The following is a 15,721-nucleotide window of genomic DNA, read 5'->3' on the forward strand; positions in this document are numbered from 1 at the left end:
ATTGAATTTAGTGAGGGGAAGAAGAGGTGAAGGTAGAGGCAAGGTCTTTCAGGCAGAGGGAAGGATAAAGGCTCCAAGCTAAGAGACAATAAATAGTTTAATACAACTGGAATAAAATGGAGAAGGAGAACAGGTAGGGTTTGAGGTCTGAAAGGACATGTGTACTTAACTGAGGAGTCTGAATTTTACTAAAAGCTATGAAGACCTCACTGAGTTAATTAAGAAGGGCAGTGTCATGATCAGACATTTGTTCAAGAATGGCCCCTAACTTCAGTTTGAAATATGAACTGAAGGGGAATCAGGCTAGATAGAGGTAGGGAGGCTGTTTTGAAGGCTGCAGCAGCTATCCAAGGAAGAAATAGTGTTGGCATGAACTAAAGAACTGGCTGTGGAAATATAGAAAAAGGGGGCAAAGTATTTAATTATTAAAGAGTTAGAATCTAGGGAGTTTACTGATTAAAGGGGCAGTCGATGGGCAAGAAGTAGAAGGAATCTTGAAGTATGCTAAGTTGTCTGGTAAAAAAATTTAGAAAAGTTATAAACATTCAATTTTAACTTTGATTAGCTGAAATCAGGTAGTCAATATGAAATTTAATAAACAGTAAAAATGAAAATGCAAGCATTACTGTAACATTTAACAAATATTTATTAAGTACATAATATCTGACAGATGACATGCTAATTACCTAAAAGAGAAAGATAAGTATGTAAAATGTGGGTCTTGTCCTTAAAAAGCCCAAGTGTGGAGGATGGGACAAGTCAGGTAAACATCAGCCTATGGTGTGATGAGGGCTCCATGGAAGTATGGAAGGAAGGCTTCAGGAGCAGAGAAGGACTTACATTCTTCGATGAACAGAGTGACTATTTCATAAAAGCTAGCACATTTTTTGAATTCCTACTAGGTGCCAAACTCTGTGAATGTGCATAAATGTACATCATCTCCATAAAGAGTAAGATACTGAGTTATATTTAAATTGTCCCTATCTCTTTTCCCACCAAAGAAACTTAACTACCTCAATAGTATTCTAATTAGTTACATGTCTTATTTGGAGTACTTACATTTCTGTTTGACTAAACTGCCATTCTCAGTTTCCCCCCTTGGCTATAATTATTCAAAACACACAATTATGTTAATGAACAAAAAGACATAAAAAATAACCTTTTACAAAGGTACAGAGTTGTACTGCTAATCATAACACCCAATTTATGTTGCTCCCATTAATGATGAACTTAGCGCTTACTTAACAAGATTTTAAGAAAACATTAACAGATTGCAAACCCTGTTCCCACTTTTGTGCTCTAGTTTACAGCCCAGCTGAATATTAACCACCAACTAGTGGTTTTACATAGGCCAAAACCTGAGGTCACTTGCAGTAACATGTTTAATCAATATACCGTGCATGCATCACTTATTGGTCCTACTAGAAACCTATCTAGGAGGCAAAACGGAATGCATGTCTCAAAGACACAGTCTGGCTTCCTCTTTGTAGTTACATTGCGTGTTGCATGGCTGCTGGAGAAACACATGGTATTATGGATGTTACATGTTTGCATAGAGGTAGGTCTAGACTAAAAGACATTTTATATCACAGATTGAGACTAAAAGACATTTTGTATCACAGATTGTCTTAGATCCTTTGACAACAAATGTCTCTAACAGCATCTTTGATCAGTCCAAAGATTTTCTGTTTTATACTTTACATATGGCTTTAGTCAACTCAAAGAAACAGGTTTACATAAGCCGCAAAGTCTATCTAGTCCCAGGACTGTGCTCACTTACCAACCATACAAGTTGTTATCATGGTATCAGTCATTTTGCCAACTAAACTGCATGTTCCCTCCAGGCAGAAATTATGTCCTATATTTATTTTCCAAACTCCAATTGTTGCACATGAGATATGGACAAAACAATTCTGTATTTGGTTCTAACACTTGCCATCTGTGTATCTGAGGGAAAATCCCTTCACTTATCTGAGCCTCAGTTTGTTCATATGTAAAAGAGGGAATATCTTTGGAGGGTTGAATGAGAGAATAAATTTAAACAATGCTCTGTATACCTAAATAAATTACCCAACAAATATAAAGTATATTAATAATATGCATATCACCAAACGCTATACTCATAGGATCTCATATAATCTTTTTGCTATTGTTTATTATGACTAATCAGTGAAGATCATCTCTCATGTCTTATATGACAAACTTCGTAGAGCAAGAGTTTCTGAAAGGGAAAAAAGTTGCTTTCCATGATGGGTACAGTGTTGTCATATGTGATCCTGTGAGCAAATATGATCTTATATATGTTTGATAAAGACAAACTTATCAATTATTTCCAGAGATTATAATGCTGAGGAAATCTATGATGTTTAACAATGCAATTTCTGTTAGGATTCAAAGTACACTCCATTTATGGTGTCTTTACTACAATTAGAACAAAAAAGTACAAAAAATATGTTCACTGCCAAGAATGAAAGAAAGGAGAGATAATGAATTTTAAAACTATAAAATTAATATATTAAAAGGATAGTTATCTACAAAATAAAATCCTGTTGACAAAATCATATCACTGGAGTGAAAAAGAATTCCAGTCTCTCCATAATAGTCATTTGGTTTCAACATATTTCATTGGTATACTTCACTTATTTCTTGGGTTTTGTTTTTAACTTGGAAAATCAAAGCTCTATTCAAAATAAGCAATGTTGTTTTAAAAAGACCTAAGATCAAATCAGAGATACTAAATCCAAGACCACTCAACAACTTAGGTTGTGTGAAGCATCTTATTAATAGGTCTCACTCATTTGACCTGGGAAGTCAATGAAATAGGCAGCAGAAATTAAAAAGATGTCATCCAGACCTTGGAAGATAAGGCATCCAGTGGATTTTATGCCATCAAATACCACCCATTTCCTTTAGGGTTCGAAGGTTTCACAACTACGTGACTTCCTTTTAACCAACAGTAAGCAAGAGACTAGCTATCTTATCTAAGCGCTCAATCACTGGGGCTGTTCTTTTTCCTCCGCGTAAGAATAGGCTGCAGGAAATAGGTGAAAGGAAATAATTCCATATTAGCATACCCTAAGGAGCATTTTAGGAAAGCTCACAGAAATTTCTTTTGCTCTCCATAGGCTGACAACTGCAAGCCTTATCTACTAGATGATTTTTTCAAGAATTGGTGTGTTAGGTGTTTCCTTGACTAGCCAGTGTTTTGTGTGTTTGTTTTTTAGTTATATTTTCCTTATGCAAGTAATTTTGAATTGTCATCATTATTTGTTACTAACTCCTAATCAATGGCATTATAATAAAGTTATGATGGACACAGTGAGCTAATTACCTGGTTTAATACCCAGCACTGTAGACATCAATCTTCTGCATTTTGGAGGATCTGAGTGAGTTATAGTGATATGTGATCCCAAGAGACTGCAAGCTAAGAAAAAACCTTCCATTTTTGGCCATGTCATAGAACCCAGCACTTATTTTTTTCTCAGAAAAGGGAGCATTTCTAACATAGCCAGATTCACTGGATGATGTGCCCTGGCTCTTGGAACACTCATTTTCATTTATAGACCAAGTTTATTTCTTTGAAGATTTAAGATACAGAAGTGGCTCTACAGAGCATCTAAAGATCCTCTTTTTCCTTTGACTTCTATCTGCAACACCCAGGTACCTGGTGCTGAAACTATTCAGTGCTAACTGAAACCTTACATAATCTTTTTCATTTTTCCTGAAACATCAGCTTTAAAAGGACATACAGAGCCTATTATTGACCATTTTTCTTGGAAATAAAGCATTTATTCTGATATAAAATGACTGATGACACTACAATCAAATGTTCTTTGTATTTTCAGTTAAGGATTGATTCCTTTCTGGGACTAAAACTCTTTTCAGAGAAATGAATAACCATTTATGCACCATTTACATATCCTAAAAACTTGTACTGAATATTTTCTATCTTCTGTACTAAATTATAGATTATCCAGCACAACTCAGGGCTGGCATATTTACTGACCCATTTATGAAGGGATTGAGATGAGGTTGACGATTAATTAATTGGGAGATGGCTCTATTCAATCTTTAGAGGTACTAAATACAAATAGTTATCAAATAGATTTACCTGAGAAAAAAAGTTAAGAAAAGAACTTCTCATATGGTGAAAAGTAATACATTAATCTAGAAATGCACATTAGTACCTATAATCACATCACCATCTTTTGCCTCAAAACAGGTTCTACATGAGTTGAGAAAAATACAATGTATGGTAGTACTCTCTTGTGCAGTACCTAATTCCAATTACCACCTCATCCTTGTACATAAATGAAGTTTTGTTTTCTTACCCTTTCAGCAAACATAATAATGTTTCCACATAATCCTGATTCTGGAAACAGAACATAACTCTCTTTTAGACTCAAACAGGAGAGTGTATATGTACATATGTGTGTTTCTGGGTATAAGCACTCATACTGTTCTCTTTTTCTTTAGAGATCATAAAGAAGTCTGCAAAGAGTTTTTGGTGATCTATTTCATTTTGTAGAGGAAGACATGAAAGTTCAAATACAATAAATGACTATTGGTTTTAAAATTTATTCTCAAGGGATTTCCCAGAATTTTCTGGTCCTATTCATTGAACTATCTGGAATTTTAGAATATCATAATAATTGGTTGTATGATTACTAGAAAGTGGTAACTGGCTATTCATGACCATTTTATTACAAACTAATTGAGGAAAATTAGGAAGAAATAACAATTTGCAGATTCTGGCTTGTTCTAGAAAACACACATTAAAATTAAAGGACACACTTATTTGGCTCATTGGAATTGGTTCCTCAATATCTTTTTCAAAATGCCACTCCTGGCTGCAACTATGGGTAACACAGTTTTCTGAGAAAACAAACTCTCAGACAGCTTTTGACTATGATTCAAATTTTCTTTAACTCATATTAAGTAGCTATTAGTGTTTATTCTGAGAGGAAAAAAAAGATGGAACTCGAAACCCAGGCTCCAATAGTTAGCAAGTCACTGTTTAGGGTGTTACTATCTTCAACTGAGTCCAAATTCCACATTCACCTTTCTCTGCTCAATTTCTCTTCTTCTTGTTTTAGGGTAATTCCTCTCAAGTAGAGATTGGGGGTATTTGTGTAACCCATGCACCATCTAGTGGGAACAGATGGAAAATCCATCTAGAAAAATAACTTGTGATAGCCCTCCTGAGGCCACTGGCGAAGTATAGTTCTTTGCCTTAGAGACTATGCTTAATAAGATACACTATTTCTTTTTTTTTTTTTTTTTTTTTGACAGTGATCAGAATGAGACATTTTATTTTATTTTATTTTATTTTATTTTTATTATTATTATACTTTAAGTTTTAGGGTACATTTGCACAATGTGCAGGTTTGTTACATATGTATACATGTGCCACGTTGGTGTGCTGCACCCATTAACTTGTCATTTAGCATTAGGTATATCTCCTAATGCTCTCCCTCCCCGCTCCCCCCACCCAACAACAGTCCCCGGAGTGTGATGTTCCCCTTCCTGTGTCCATGAGATACACCATTTCTTTTAAAGAATTAAACTATTAGAAATTATTTTTGATAACCTTGGAATTCTTGTTCATACTTATCAAATAGATTTTCTATGGCAAGAATTAGTGTCCCTTTATATGTTGGAATTCACTGGGGATAATTCCTATTGTGTTTTAAGTCAGTTAGTAATCACTGCTCATTTATACCCTTGCCAGAGCTAGTGTGGTTCAGGGATTAATGCTTGGACTATGGGGTCAAACTAGCTGGGATCAAATTTATGGCTTTGTTTCCTATTACCTAAAAGAGCTCTGGCAAAATCACCTACCCCTCTGGCGTTCTGTAAACCTTTTCTGTAAAAAGGAGTTAAAATTTTAAAAACTGCATGTTAAGCACTTACAAAAATACTCAACACATATTAACTCTTCAATAAATGTTAGGAATTATTAATGATTATGAAACAAGATTACGTTATTATGATTACAGAAAAACATGTAACACTTTTATATCTACTCAGTTCTCCATCAAGCCAATGTAAAAAGCTGAAGCTTGTTCCACTAATACCACAGGCCTGTAATTAGCTATGGTTGGCTGCTCCCAGAATAGATAGAATTGACAGTCCCATGGGAATTTCAAAGGGTCAACATGGGCCACTGGAGCCTACTTATGACTCAACAGCAGTGCCTCTTTCAGACAATGGATATGGAGGGGGTGTTGGCAGAATGGAATTTCTGTCCCCAGTGGAGGTGGACCCAAAACATCTCCTCTTTCAATCTTTTAATGGATATTGGCCCATTCTTGAATTTTTCACCAAACAATTTTTCTGCTTCATGCTGGTCTTTCTTCAGCCAGTCCACTGTTCATTAGCTGGACAGCAAACAAGGGAGAGTGATGTTAAAATACATTCTAATTTGCTTCATTATCCTGGTTTCATAAGAAGTCAGAGGGAAGGAAATATTCATCACTGTTGAAATCACCATGCGTTGCACAAGGCTTCTTGAGAAAGAGATGTACAGTATATAAGAGCTGATTGATGGAAGGTTAAAGGAGCAGAATGCAGGTGCTACTAAAAGAATTAAGACACAGGACTGATGACTCAGGGAAAGGTACCCAGGCAGTTACAGGGAACATGTGAGCACTGACTGCCTGGGCATGAAAGACCTTGGCAAACTCTGTTATATTTTATCTCAGCCTGAGGCTGGCCATTGATAAATTGTGTCTAAAACATACTCTCAGTGTCCATGACTACCCTCCACTACAAACGACATTGGCTCCTTGCCCTCCTGTTTATTAAAAAAAAATTATTGAGCATCTGCTTCATAACCATCAGTAAGTGATGTCTTCATACATAGAGAGTAGTGAGCTACTAGTAATAAGTCAATGACCAACTTTCTTCTGTTCACTTTCTTAGTTGAAATATTATCTATGCATTTCACCTACTATGTACTAAAAACATCTGTGAATAACTCATTGGGATTCAGTGACCCAGATGGACAAAGTGCCGGCTCTCAAAAAGCTTAGATTCTAGTGGTGGGAAATAAAATAAACATGAAAAACAAACAAGAAAAGGACTAGATAGAGTGTTAGTACTTTGAGTTGGGTGGTCAGGAACTAACTCTCTGAGAAATGCAAATTTACTCTCAGATCTGAACAGTAAGTTTAGCCAGTCATATAAATATTCTTCCAGCAGAAGGAACAGCTAGTGCAGGAGAAGGAAACATATTTGACATGCATAAGAAATAGAATTCTCCAGTTGAACATGTTCTCCATTTCACCTCCTGGATTTTCTACCGGTTTTCCATAAGATGGGACGATTTTCAGCTAGCATTCTCTTGCAAGTTGGATAATTTCCTGCCCTGTTCTGAAAATGACACCAAAAAGAGTCCAAGTAAGACCTTTCTCAAAATTGCTTTATATCCAGAGCAATAGCCTAGAAAAAGCATGTCATTTCTTTAACAAAGTGTTGGGGGTTTGTTAAGGTTCCATTCATGCTGAACACTTTATACGCATGACCTCATTTAGGCTTCACATCACTCTTATGATAAGGGAAAAATATTATCTTGCTATTATAGATAACTACAGCACACAGTTAGTAAGTGGTAAAGCTAAGATTCAAACTCAGGTTTCTCTGGAGCTTCCTCAAAGAATGCAGAAGCAGAGGAGCCTATGAGTAGAAATGACACTACTCAGAAGCAAGCTTCTACTTCTGCATACTGTGCAAGTGACTAAGAGGTTAATGGAATCTCCAGCTGTGCCTCTATGACCAGAATACATGCACATGCACTCAAACTCACACATGTACTCACAGACATACACACACATACACACACTCACTTACACACACATTGAAAACCCCAGCTGTCTAAACCCTTCTCATTTCTGATGGGTGATATCCTCACATAATGGTGAGGAACACCAGCATTACTATACAAGGAGCACTATGTTGTCTAAAAAACTGGGGCCTCAGAAGTTTAGGAAAATATACCAAAGAAGGAAAAGAAGTCTTTAGGTTGTGCAAAATGGGAAACAGAACGTATCAATTAGGTCTTTTGTTTAGTGGAATACAGCAATTTTTTTTTAAATCAAGTCTGATTTCTCAAGAAGTTTGTAATCTAAATGGGGAAAAATTAATATAGGGAACTACTTTAGCAGGGGTAAGCAATTATCTGAGAATGGAGATTTACATGTTGGAAGAGGAAAATTAAAAAAAAATACAGAGTTCAATAAAGACAATAAACAATGACCACTAACAGAGATCGTTATTATTATATCAACACAAAGCGGTTCATTTAACTAAATTTTACTGAAAGTTTTAAAACCAGTCTGCCATTTGGAAAGCAGCCAGATCTGAAATATCAAGTATATTGTGGATACAAGAGTAGTTCTTCAATTATGCAGAGCATCCAGATGCGCTAGAAGATGAAAGTAAGAGAAATTTAAAAGGAAAAAATCGTAGAGTGGAACAGGGTACATCCTATTATCTGTTAGGTACAAACCAATAGACATTTTAAAATTACCATAACCACAATGTTCCCTTTGATGTGGGCCCCTTAAGAGAGTTACAGAGAGCTATGAGGCTGTATCATCACATATCTCCAGATTAAAGCCTGTCAGTAACAATATACACTGATTCACTGCAGGGTTGAAACATACCTGTGTAATCAAGCAGGGAATCCATGGATCACTGGTATAGAGCATCAGCCACAGTCTCATCAAAGGAGAGATTGTGATTGGTCATGGCTTTGCCATTTTTATAATTGCTCTTTTTGAACCACAAGTTACTAAAAGAACAAAGCTTTTATCACAGATAGAAAAGAAAATGTTTTCTTATATTAAGCTAACCAATTAAGTTAGTTCTGGAAGGTTTCTCTTTGTCTAAATCGGAAATGCTTGACAATACTTTTAAAACCATTTTTAACATTCACAATAATTTGATTTATATGCTATTTATCAGACATACATTACATGGACATACATACATAAACCATGTAAAACCGTGTCAATGATATACTATTCAAATACGCACACACATACATATGTGTGTGTGTATATATATGTATGTATATATATATATATATGTATCCTCAGAGAGATACTGGATATTGAATTAAGGAACACAGCAAGTATAAGGTCTTGGAAAATAAAAAATATTATAGCAGAAAAATATTTCAACAAAAAGGCTCAAAGATAAAGAAACGTGATACAGAAGTCAAATATCTAATAATTGAAGTTCCATAGGGAAGAAAGAAGACAGATGAAAAGAAATGATCAAAAGAATAAATCACAAAACATCCTAGAATTTAAAGACTTGAAATCCAGATTAAAAGGCCCACTGAGTCCCCACTATAATGAACAACAACAACAAAATGATTTAAACAGGGATAATCATTATGAAATTTCAGAATATAGGAATAAAGAGAAGATTCCAAAATTTTGAGAGAGAACAAAAAGATCATTTATTAAGGATCAGGTATAAGAATAATATCATAGTCTTAAGGCAACACTAGAAACTAGAAACAAATAGGGGTACATTGTCAAATTTTTTATGAAAAAGATTTTCAATCTTGCATTCCATACCCAGCCAAGCTATTAATCAAGAGCAATGGTGGAATAAATACCTTTTTAGACATCCAAGTTCTTAGAAACTTCACCAAGGCATTTGAAGCTCCAAATCTGTAGTTTTCTTAGAAGTTTACTTGAGGGTATTCACTATCAAAATAAGGGAATAAACCCAGAAAAAGGAAGACACAAGTTCCAAAACGAAAACAAGGAGATTCAACATAGAAGAACATCAAACAGAATTCTCTTGATGACAGAAAAAGAAAAAGCCTCAGAATAACAGCTTCACAATAGGCCAAGAAAATAACCAGTACACAATTGAATAGAACGACTGAAAGAAATGTCCAGAACAAAAAAAATTAAAATAAAAAATGAGAGTTATAGATTTTCTGATGTGTTTGTCAAGAAATGTTCATTAAGAAACAGCTAGGGGACTTGATTATACAGAATAAGGTACATAGAAAACTAAGCAAATAAAAATAAAAGAACAATAAATAGCTCAAGGGTAAGATAAAAATTATGTAAGAATAGAAATATAGTCATAATACATACATGAATTATATTACGTGGTCATAATAATGTCATCCATTAATACTGCCTTAACCCAAAGTTAGAATACAGCTATTAAGGCCAGAGAATGACACAAGAGAGCAAACTCCTCATCTATGTAACAGGAAGTTAACAGATATTGCTGAGTCTCTCAATATCATGTTCCAGGAAAAAGAATGAACATTCGTTGGAGAAATGCCTGATTTCAGGTCTGGAATAAGAAATGCACAGGATGTGCCTGGGACATTTGTTATGCCTGAAAGCAGGGATGCTATCAAAGATTACTGAGAGTGGCCACAGGGGTTCAATCAATATGCTGTCCTCTCCACATTTATTTGTGTGTAAAACTTTTCATTATACAAAATTAAAAAGTAGGTTGGGGAGTAGGATTGGGGAAGTAAAGAGAACTTTTCTAGTCAATGAATTTCAGTACTGTTTGAATCTTTTACAATGAGAATGTAAATTTATTTATTTCTCATGTAATTTTTAATTTAAAATAAAAAAGAAACAATGGTATATGCATGTATAAGGCCAGGTTCTCCAGAGAAGCAGAAGCAACAGTATATGTAGAGATATATAGGAGATTTATTATGAGGGATTGACTTACACAAGCATGGGGCTGAGAAGTCCCACAATCTACTGCCTGCAAGCTGGAGGCCTAGGAAAGCTGGTGATATAGTTCCAGTTTAAGTGAAAGTCCTGAAAACCAGGAGTGCCTATGGTGCAAGTCCCAGTCAGAGTCTGAAGGCCTGAAAACAGGGGGCCAATGGTGTTACTCCTCGCCCAACTCTGAAATTCCAAGAACCAGTGTCTGAGGGCAGAAGATGGATGTCCAACTCAAAGAAAAAAGAGAATAAATCTGCCCTTATTCCATCATTTTTTTCTACTCAGGCCCTCAACAGATTGGATGATACTCACCCAGGCTGGTGAGGGTGGCTCTTCTTTACTCAGTCTACTGATTCAATTGCTCATCTTTTTGGGAAACACCCTCACAGACACACCCAGAAATACTGTTTTATCAGCTATCTGGGCATCCCTTAGCCCAGTCAAGCTGACACATAAAATTAACCATCACAAAGAATATTACTTAGAAATGTGGAGTTAAACACCATTAGAGAAAATTGATGGTTGAAGGTGTTGGCCAGTGGGAAGTAAAATAGGGAATGAAGAGAGGTGATCATCAATTGCTATTTCGTGATTTGTAGGCCTCTTCTTATTGCTTGGCATATGCATATTTTACTTCAACAAAAACAAACATGAGTCACATAGGCCTTCATTCAAAATGTGACTCAAGCATTTGTTAGCTAAGAGGCCTTGAGCAGTGGCTTAATCTCTCACAATTTCTTCATCTGTGAAATAAAGGCAATATATGTCCTTGTGGAGTCATGAGGTTTTAATGTAATACATTAAGCACCTAGTCTGGTGCATAATCAGTATATGGTAGATATTATTATTATATTATATTTAGAACCTTTGCAGAAGCTGAAATTCAAAAGCTAAAAGCTGAGAAAGATGGCCAAAACCTGCCAAACTACAGTGATATGGTTTGTATATTTGTCCCCTCCAAATCTCAGGTTGAAATGTAATCCCTAATGTTGGAGGTGGGGCACGGTGGGAGGTGTTTGGGTCGTGGAGGCAGATCCTTCACGAGTGGTTTGGTGTCCTTCCCATGATCATGAGTTATCACAAGAGCTGGTTGTTTAAAAGAGCCTGGCCCCTCCTCCTCTCTCTCTTGCTTCCTCTTTTGTCATGTGACAGGCCTGCTCCCTCTTCACTGTACACCATGAGTAAAAGCTCCCTGAGGCCTCATCAGAAGCCAGGCAGATATTGGTTCCATGTTTCCTGTACAGTCTGCAGAACAAAAAGTCTCTAGAGGTTTAAAGCAGGGAGACCCCCCAGTTCTCTTCATTTGTAGGGGTGAAGATATACATTTCGCTCAAAGGCTGAGGTATGGAAAGCATCCTAACGTGATCAGTTTTGGCTGCATTTAAAATTGAAAATATTAACCTGGAATTTATTCACAAGCATTTCATTACTGCGACCCAATGACCTGCTAAACACAGGGGCTGTTCCTCTTTTTTCTTTTTTTTTTTTTTTTTGAGATGGAGTCTCGCTCTGTCACCCAGGCTGGAGTACAGCCAGCTCACTACAGCCTCCATCTCCTGGGTTCAAGCAATTCTCCTGCCTCAGCCTCCCGAGTAGCTGGGATTACAGGCACACGCCGCCACGCACAGCTAATTTTCAAATTTTTAGTAGAGACATGACTTCACCATGTTGGCCAGGCTGGTTCCAAGCTCCTGACCTCAAATTATCCGCCCACCTCAGCCTCCCAAAGTGCTGGGATAACAGGTGTGAGCCACCGCACCTGGCCTGTTTCCTCTTTGAACAACTTACCTAGAATCCAGTGCTCCCCAGGTGACTTTTCATATGAGTGCACGAGAAAGGCAGAGTCTGCATTTCCCAAACTCATCTTCAGACATCACCACTTACAATTTCACACTGTCATGCTGCTACTGGAGCTGCTCTGTAGCTTTCACCTGCTCATTAATGTGCACTGCTGTACCAGTAGCTCCTTAAAAATGTACATCACACACACGTGGGGTCTCCCCTAGGTGACCTCATGGGCACCAGTTGCCTGTAAAATAAACATTGACATAATCAAACAGCAAGATACAAAGAAGACTGTGTGTGGCAACATGGTATTGGCTGCAGGTGAAAAATGAAAGATGAGGAGCCAAAATGTTAACAACCTCATCATTCTAAACAACCAGGCTATAGATGCTGTGGCTTTTTTGTCTCCTTCATTTGTTAACTGAGCTAAAATCAAATTTAAAGACACTGGTTTGTATGGAGTAACACTTAATTCAGTCTTACCCCTCCAAAAAACAAACCAGAGTGTCATAAGTGCAGAAAAAAAGAAACACAGGAAAAAAAAATGATGATATTGGTTTGTATTGACTAGGCTTTACTCATAGTACCTTAAAATTAATTATTAAATAATTATATGAAGAGGTGAAGAATTAGCAAACTGGGGCCAATTATGAGGTCAGGAGTTTGAAACCAGCCTGGCCAACATGGCAAAACCCCATCTCTACTAAAAATACAAATTTTAGCCAGGCGCGGTGGTGGGCGCCTGTAATCCCAGCTACTCGGGAGGCTGAGGCAGGAGAATCACTTGAACCTGGGAGGCAGAGATTGCAGCAAGCCAAGATTGCGCCATTGCACTCCAGCCTGGGCGACAGACAGAGACTCCATCTCAAAAAAAAAAAAAAAGAAGCCACATCTGTTTAATGTTTATATTTTCAGCCCTCACATCTACTGTAAACTGTAATTCACAGCTTACAGTTTGGTAGAAGGAATAGACACAAAAGCAAGTAGTATTTACATATAACCAATGCACATCCTCATTTATACTCTAAATCATCTCTAGATTACTTATAATACCCAATAAAATGCCTACGCATCACTTCATTTGTGCAGATTCCACATAGTACTTGGCACATGGCAACTTCAAGTTTTGCTTAAAAAATTTTGTGAATTTTTTTTCCCAAATGTTTGTATTTTCAGCCCTCACATCTACTGCCTGGTACTTAGGAGGTTTTCAGTAGGTATTGGTTTTTAGAGTTGCAGGAAAATCTATAGAACATAATTGAGAAAAAGAAGGAACATAGCTGCTCATTGGCTATTTTCTGTCTCTGTCTCTCATTATGAAGTTCATTATGCTTGTATGAATATACAAGCCCTGAGAAAATAAATCATTTCCAACAATTTATTAGAGCAAGAGACATTGCCTGGGAAAATAAATTATTTCCAAGAATTTATAGAGTGAGAGGTCAGCGAGTTCCAGCAATATCTTGGTCATTAATATAGCATACTTTTACTTTGTTTCTGGATGGTTTTAATTTTTACAACGAAAATTAAACATATAAAGAAGCCCAGAAACCTGAAACAAGCTAGAATAAATAGATGGTCAGGTGAAGAACAGCACTTCCCATACCATGTAGCTTTCATTTGCCTATGTGTCTATCCCTTCTACCAAACTGCAAGCTTCTTGAGAATAGGAACTTTATCTTACTCATTTTCATATCCAGAGATGATACGCAAAATATTTAGCAACCAGTACAAGAGAGGTTCTGACCAATTAGAATGGATGCTAGCTGTAAATCACCAATATGGCTGACTTGCATGCTGGTTAAATACAGTCATTCGTTGGTATCCATGAGGGATTGGTTCCAAAACCCACCGGCCACCCACTGCCTCAACCCTCCTCCCCACAGATACTAAAATCCACAGCTTATAGTTTGGTAGAAAGAATAGACACATAAGCAAATAGTATTTACATATAACCGATGCACATCCTCATTTATACTTTAAATCATCTCTAGATTACTTATAATACCCAATAAAATGCCTACACATCACTTTATTCACATAGTACTTGGCACATGGCAAATTCAAGTTTTGCTTAAGAAACTTTGTGAATGTTTTTTTCCAAATGTTTTTGATCCACAATTGGTTGAATCCATGGATACAGAGGGGCAACTGTATTAGCCTATTCTGTCCTTAGTGTCTGGCACAATGCCTGGGAAAATACTAGATATTCAATAAATGTCTGATGAGTGCATGAAAAAATGAATGAGTGCATAAATTCTACAAGCAGACCATTCCACCAAAGCCTGGCTCTTCCAGGATTGTCCTACTATCACTCTTAAAATCCCCTTTGGGGTCCAGCATAATGGCTCATGTCTGTACTCCCAGTACTCTGGGAGACCAAGGCAGGAGGATCACTTGAGCCCTGGAGCTCAAGACCAAGCTGGACAATATAGTGAGACCTATCTCTATAACAAATGTTAAAATTAGCCAGGCATGGTGGCGTGCACGGGTAGTCACAGCTACTTGGGAGGCTGAGGCAAGAGGATCCCTTGATCCCAGAAGTTTGAGGTTACAGTGAGATATTATTGCACCACTGCACTCCAGCATACTGGGCTACAGAGCAAGTCCCTGTCTCTAAAACAAAACAAAAGAAAACAAACAAACAAACAAACAAAACTCCTTTGTGCTCACTCCTCACTGCACAGTGCAGGGAGGGGACTGAAGCTATTATGGAAGCCACTGTGACCTGTTGAACCTAACATACCCTGGAACTGTTGGCAATGAATTTAATTAGTCCAGCACTTTGTGGTAGTCACTACAACCTTATGAGTTATGGGAACATAATTTCAGTAATAAACGTAGCTATCACATCAAAGCCCTTGCGTACAGTGAAGATTGTGGTCCTCGACAACAGGCTGGTTGTCTCAGCATTTTTTTTTTACAGCCATGCCTAAATTGGAAACAGAAATAATTGAATTTATGAGAGACCTCTAATAGTGATTTTCTGTTAAAATAGGGTTCTATTGAACATATTTTTATCTTCCCATTCTTAATTTTGAATATTAATTATTTTAGAGATTTTTTTTGAGTCAGGGTTTTGCTCTGTGGCCCAGGCTGGAGGGCAGTGGTGTGATCAAGGCTCACTGCAGCCTTGACCTTCGCAGACTCAGGTGATCCTCCTACCTCAGCCTCCTAAGTAGCTGGGACTACAGGTATACCACTATGCC

The 15,721-nt window shown here is 37.0% G+C and overlaps 1 long non-coding RNA gene across 1 annotated transcript, besides 1 other annotated feature; it reads right to left on the reverse strand.

Moving 5' to 3' along the window:
• Positions 2,931-3,131: a silencer, noted in NCBI's record as "peak7094 fragment used in MPRA reporter construct". NCBI's record gives its function as "represses an SCP1 promoter by STARR-seq MPRAs in K562 erythroleukemia cells {active_cell/tissue: K562}" and the evidence as "EXISTENCE:reporter gene assay evidence [ECO:0000049][PMID:32103011]".
• Positions 5,378-10,191, reverse strand: LOC107986954 (uncharacterized). The gene is made up of 4 exons (XR_001745984.1): positions 10,125-10,191; positions 9,632-9,722; positions 8,667-8,794; positions 5,378-7,374 (listed from the first exon to the last, which is right to left on the reverse strand). It is a non-coding gene; the product is annotated as an uncharacterized LOC107986954 (long non-coding RNA).
• Between the last annotated feature and the right edge of the window lie 5,530 nt (positions 10,192-15,721).

Source organism: Homo sapiens, chromosome 8 (assembly GCF_000001405.40).
Source record: "Homo sapiens chromosome 8, GRCh38.p14 Primary Assembly".
Classification (NCBI taxonomy): Eukaryota; Metazoa; Chordata; class Mammalia; order Primates; family Hominidae; genus Homo; species Homo sapiens.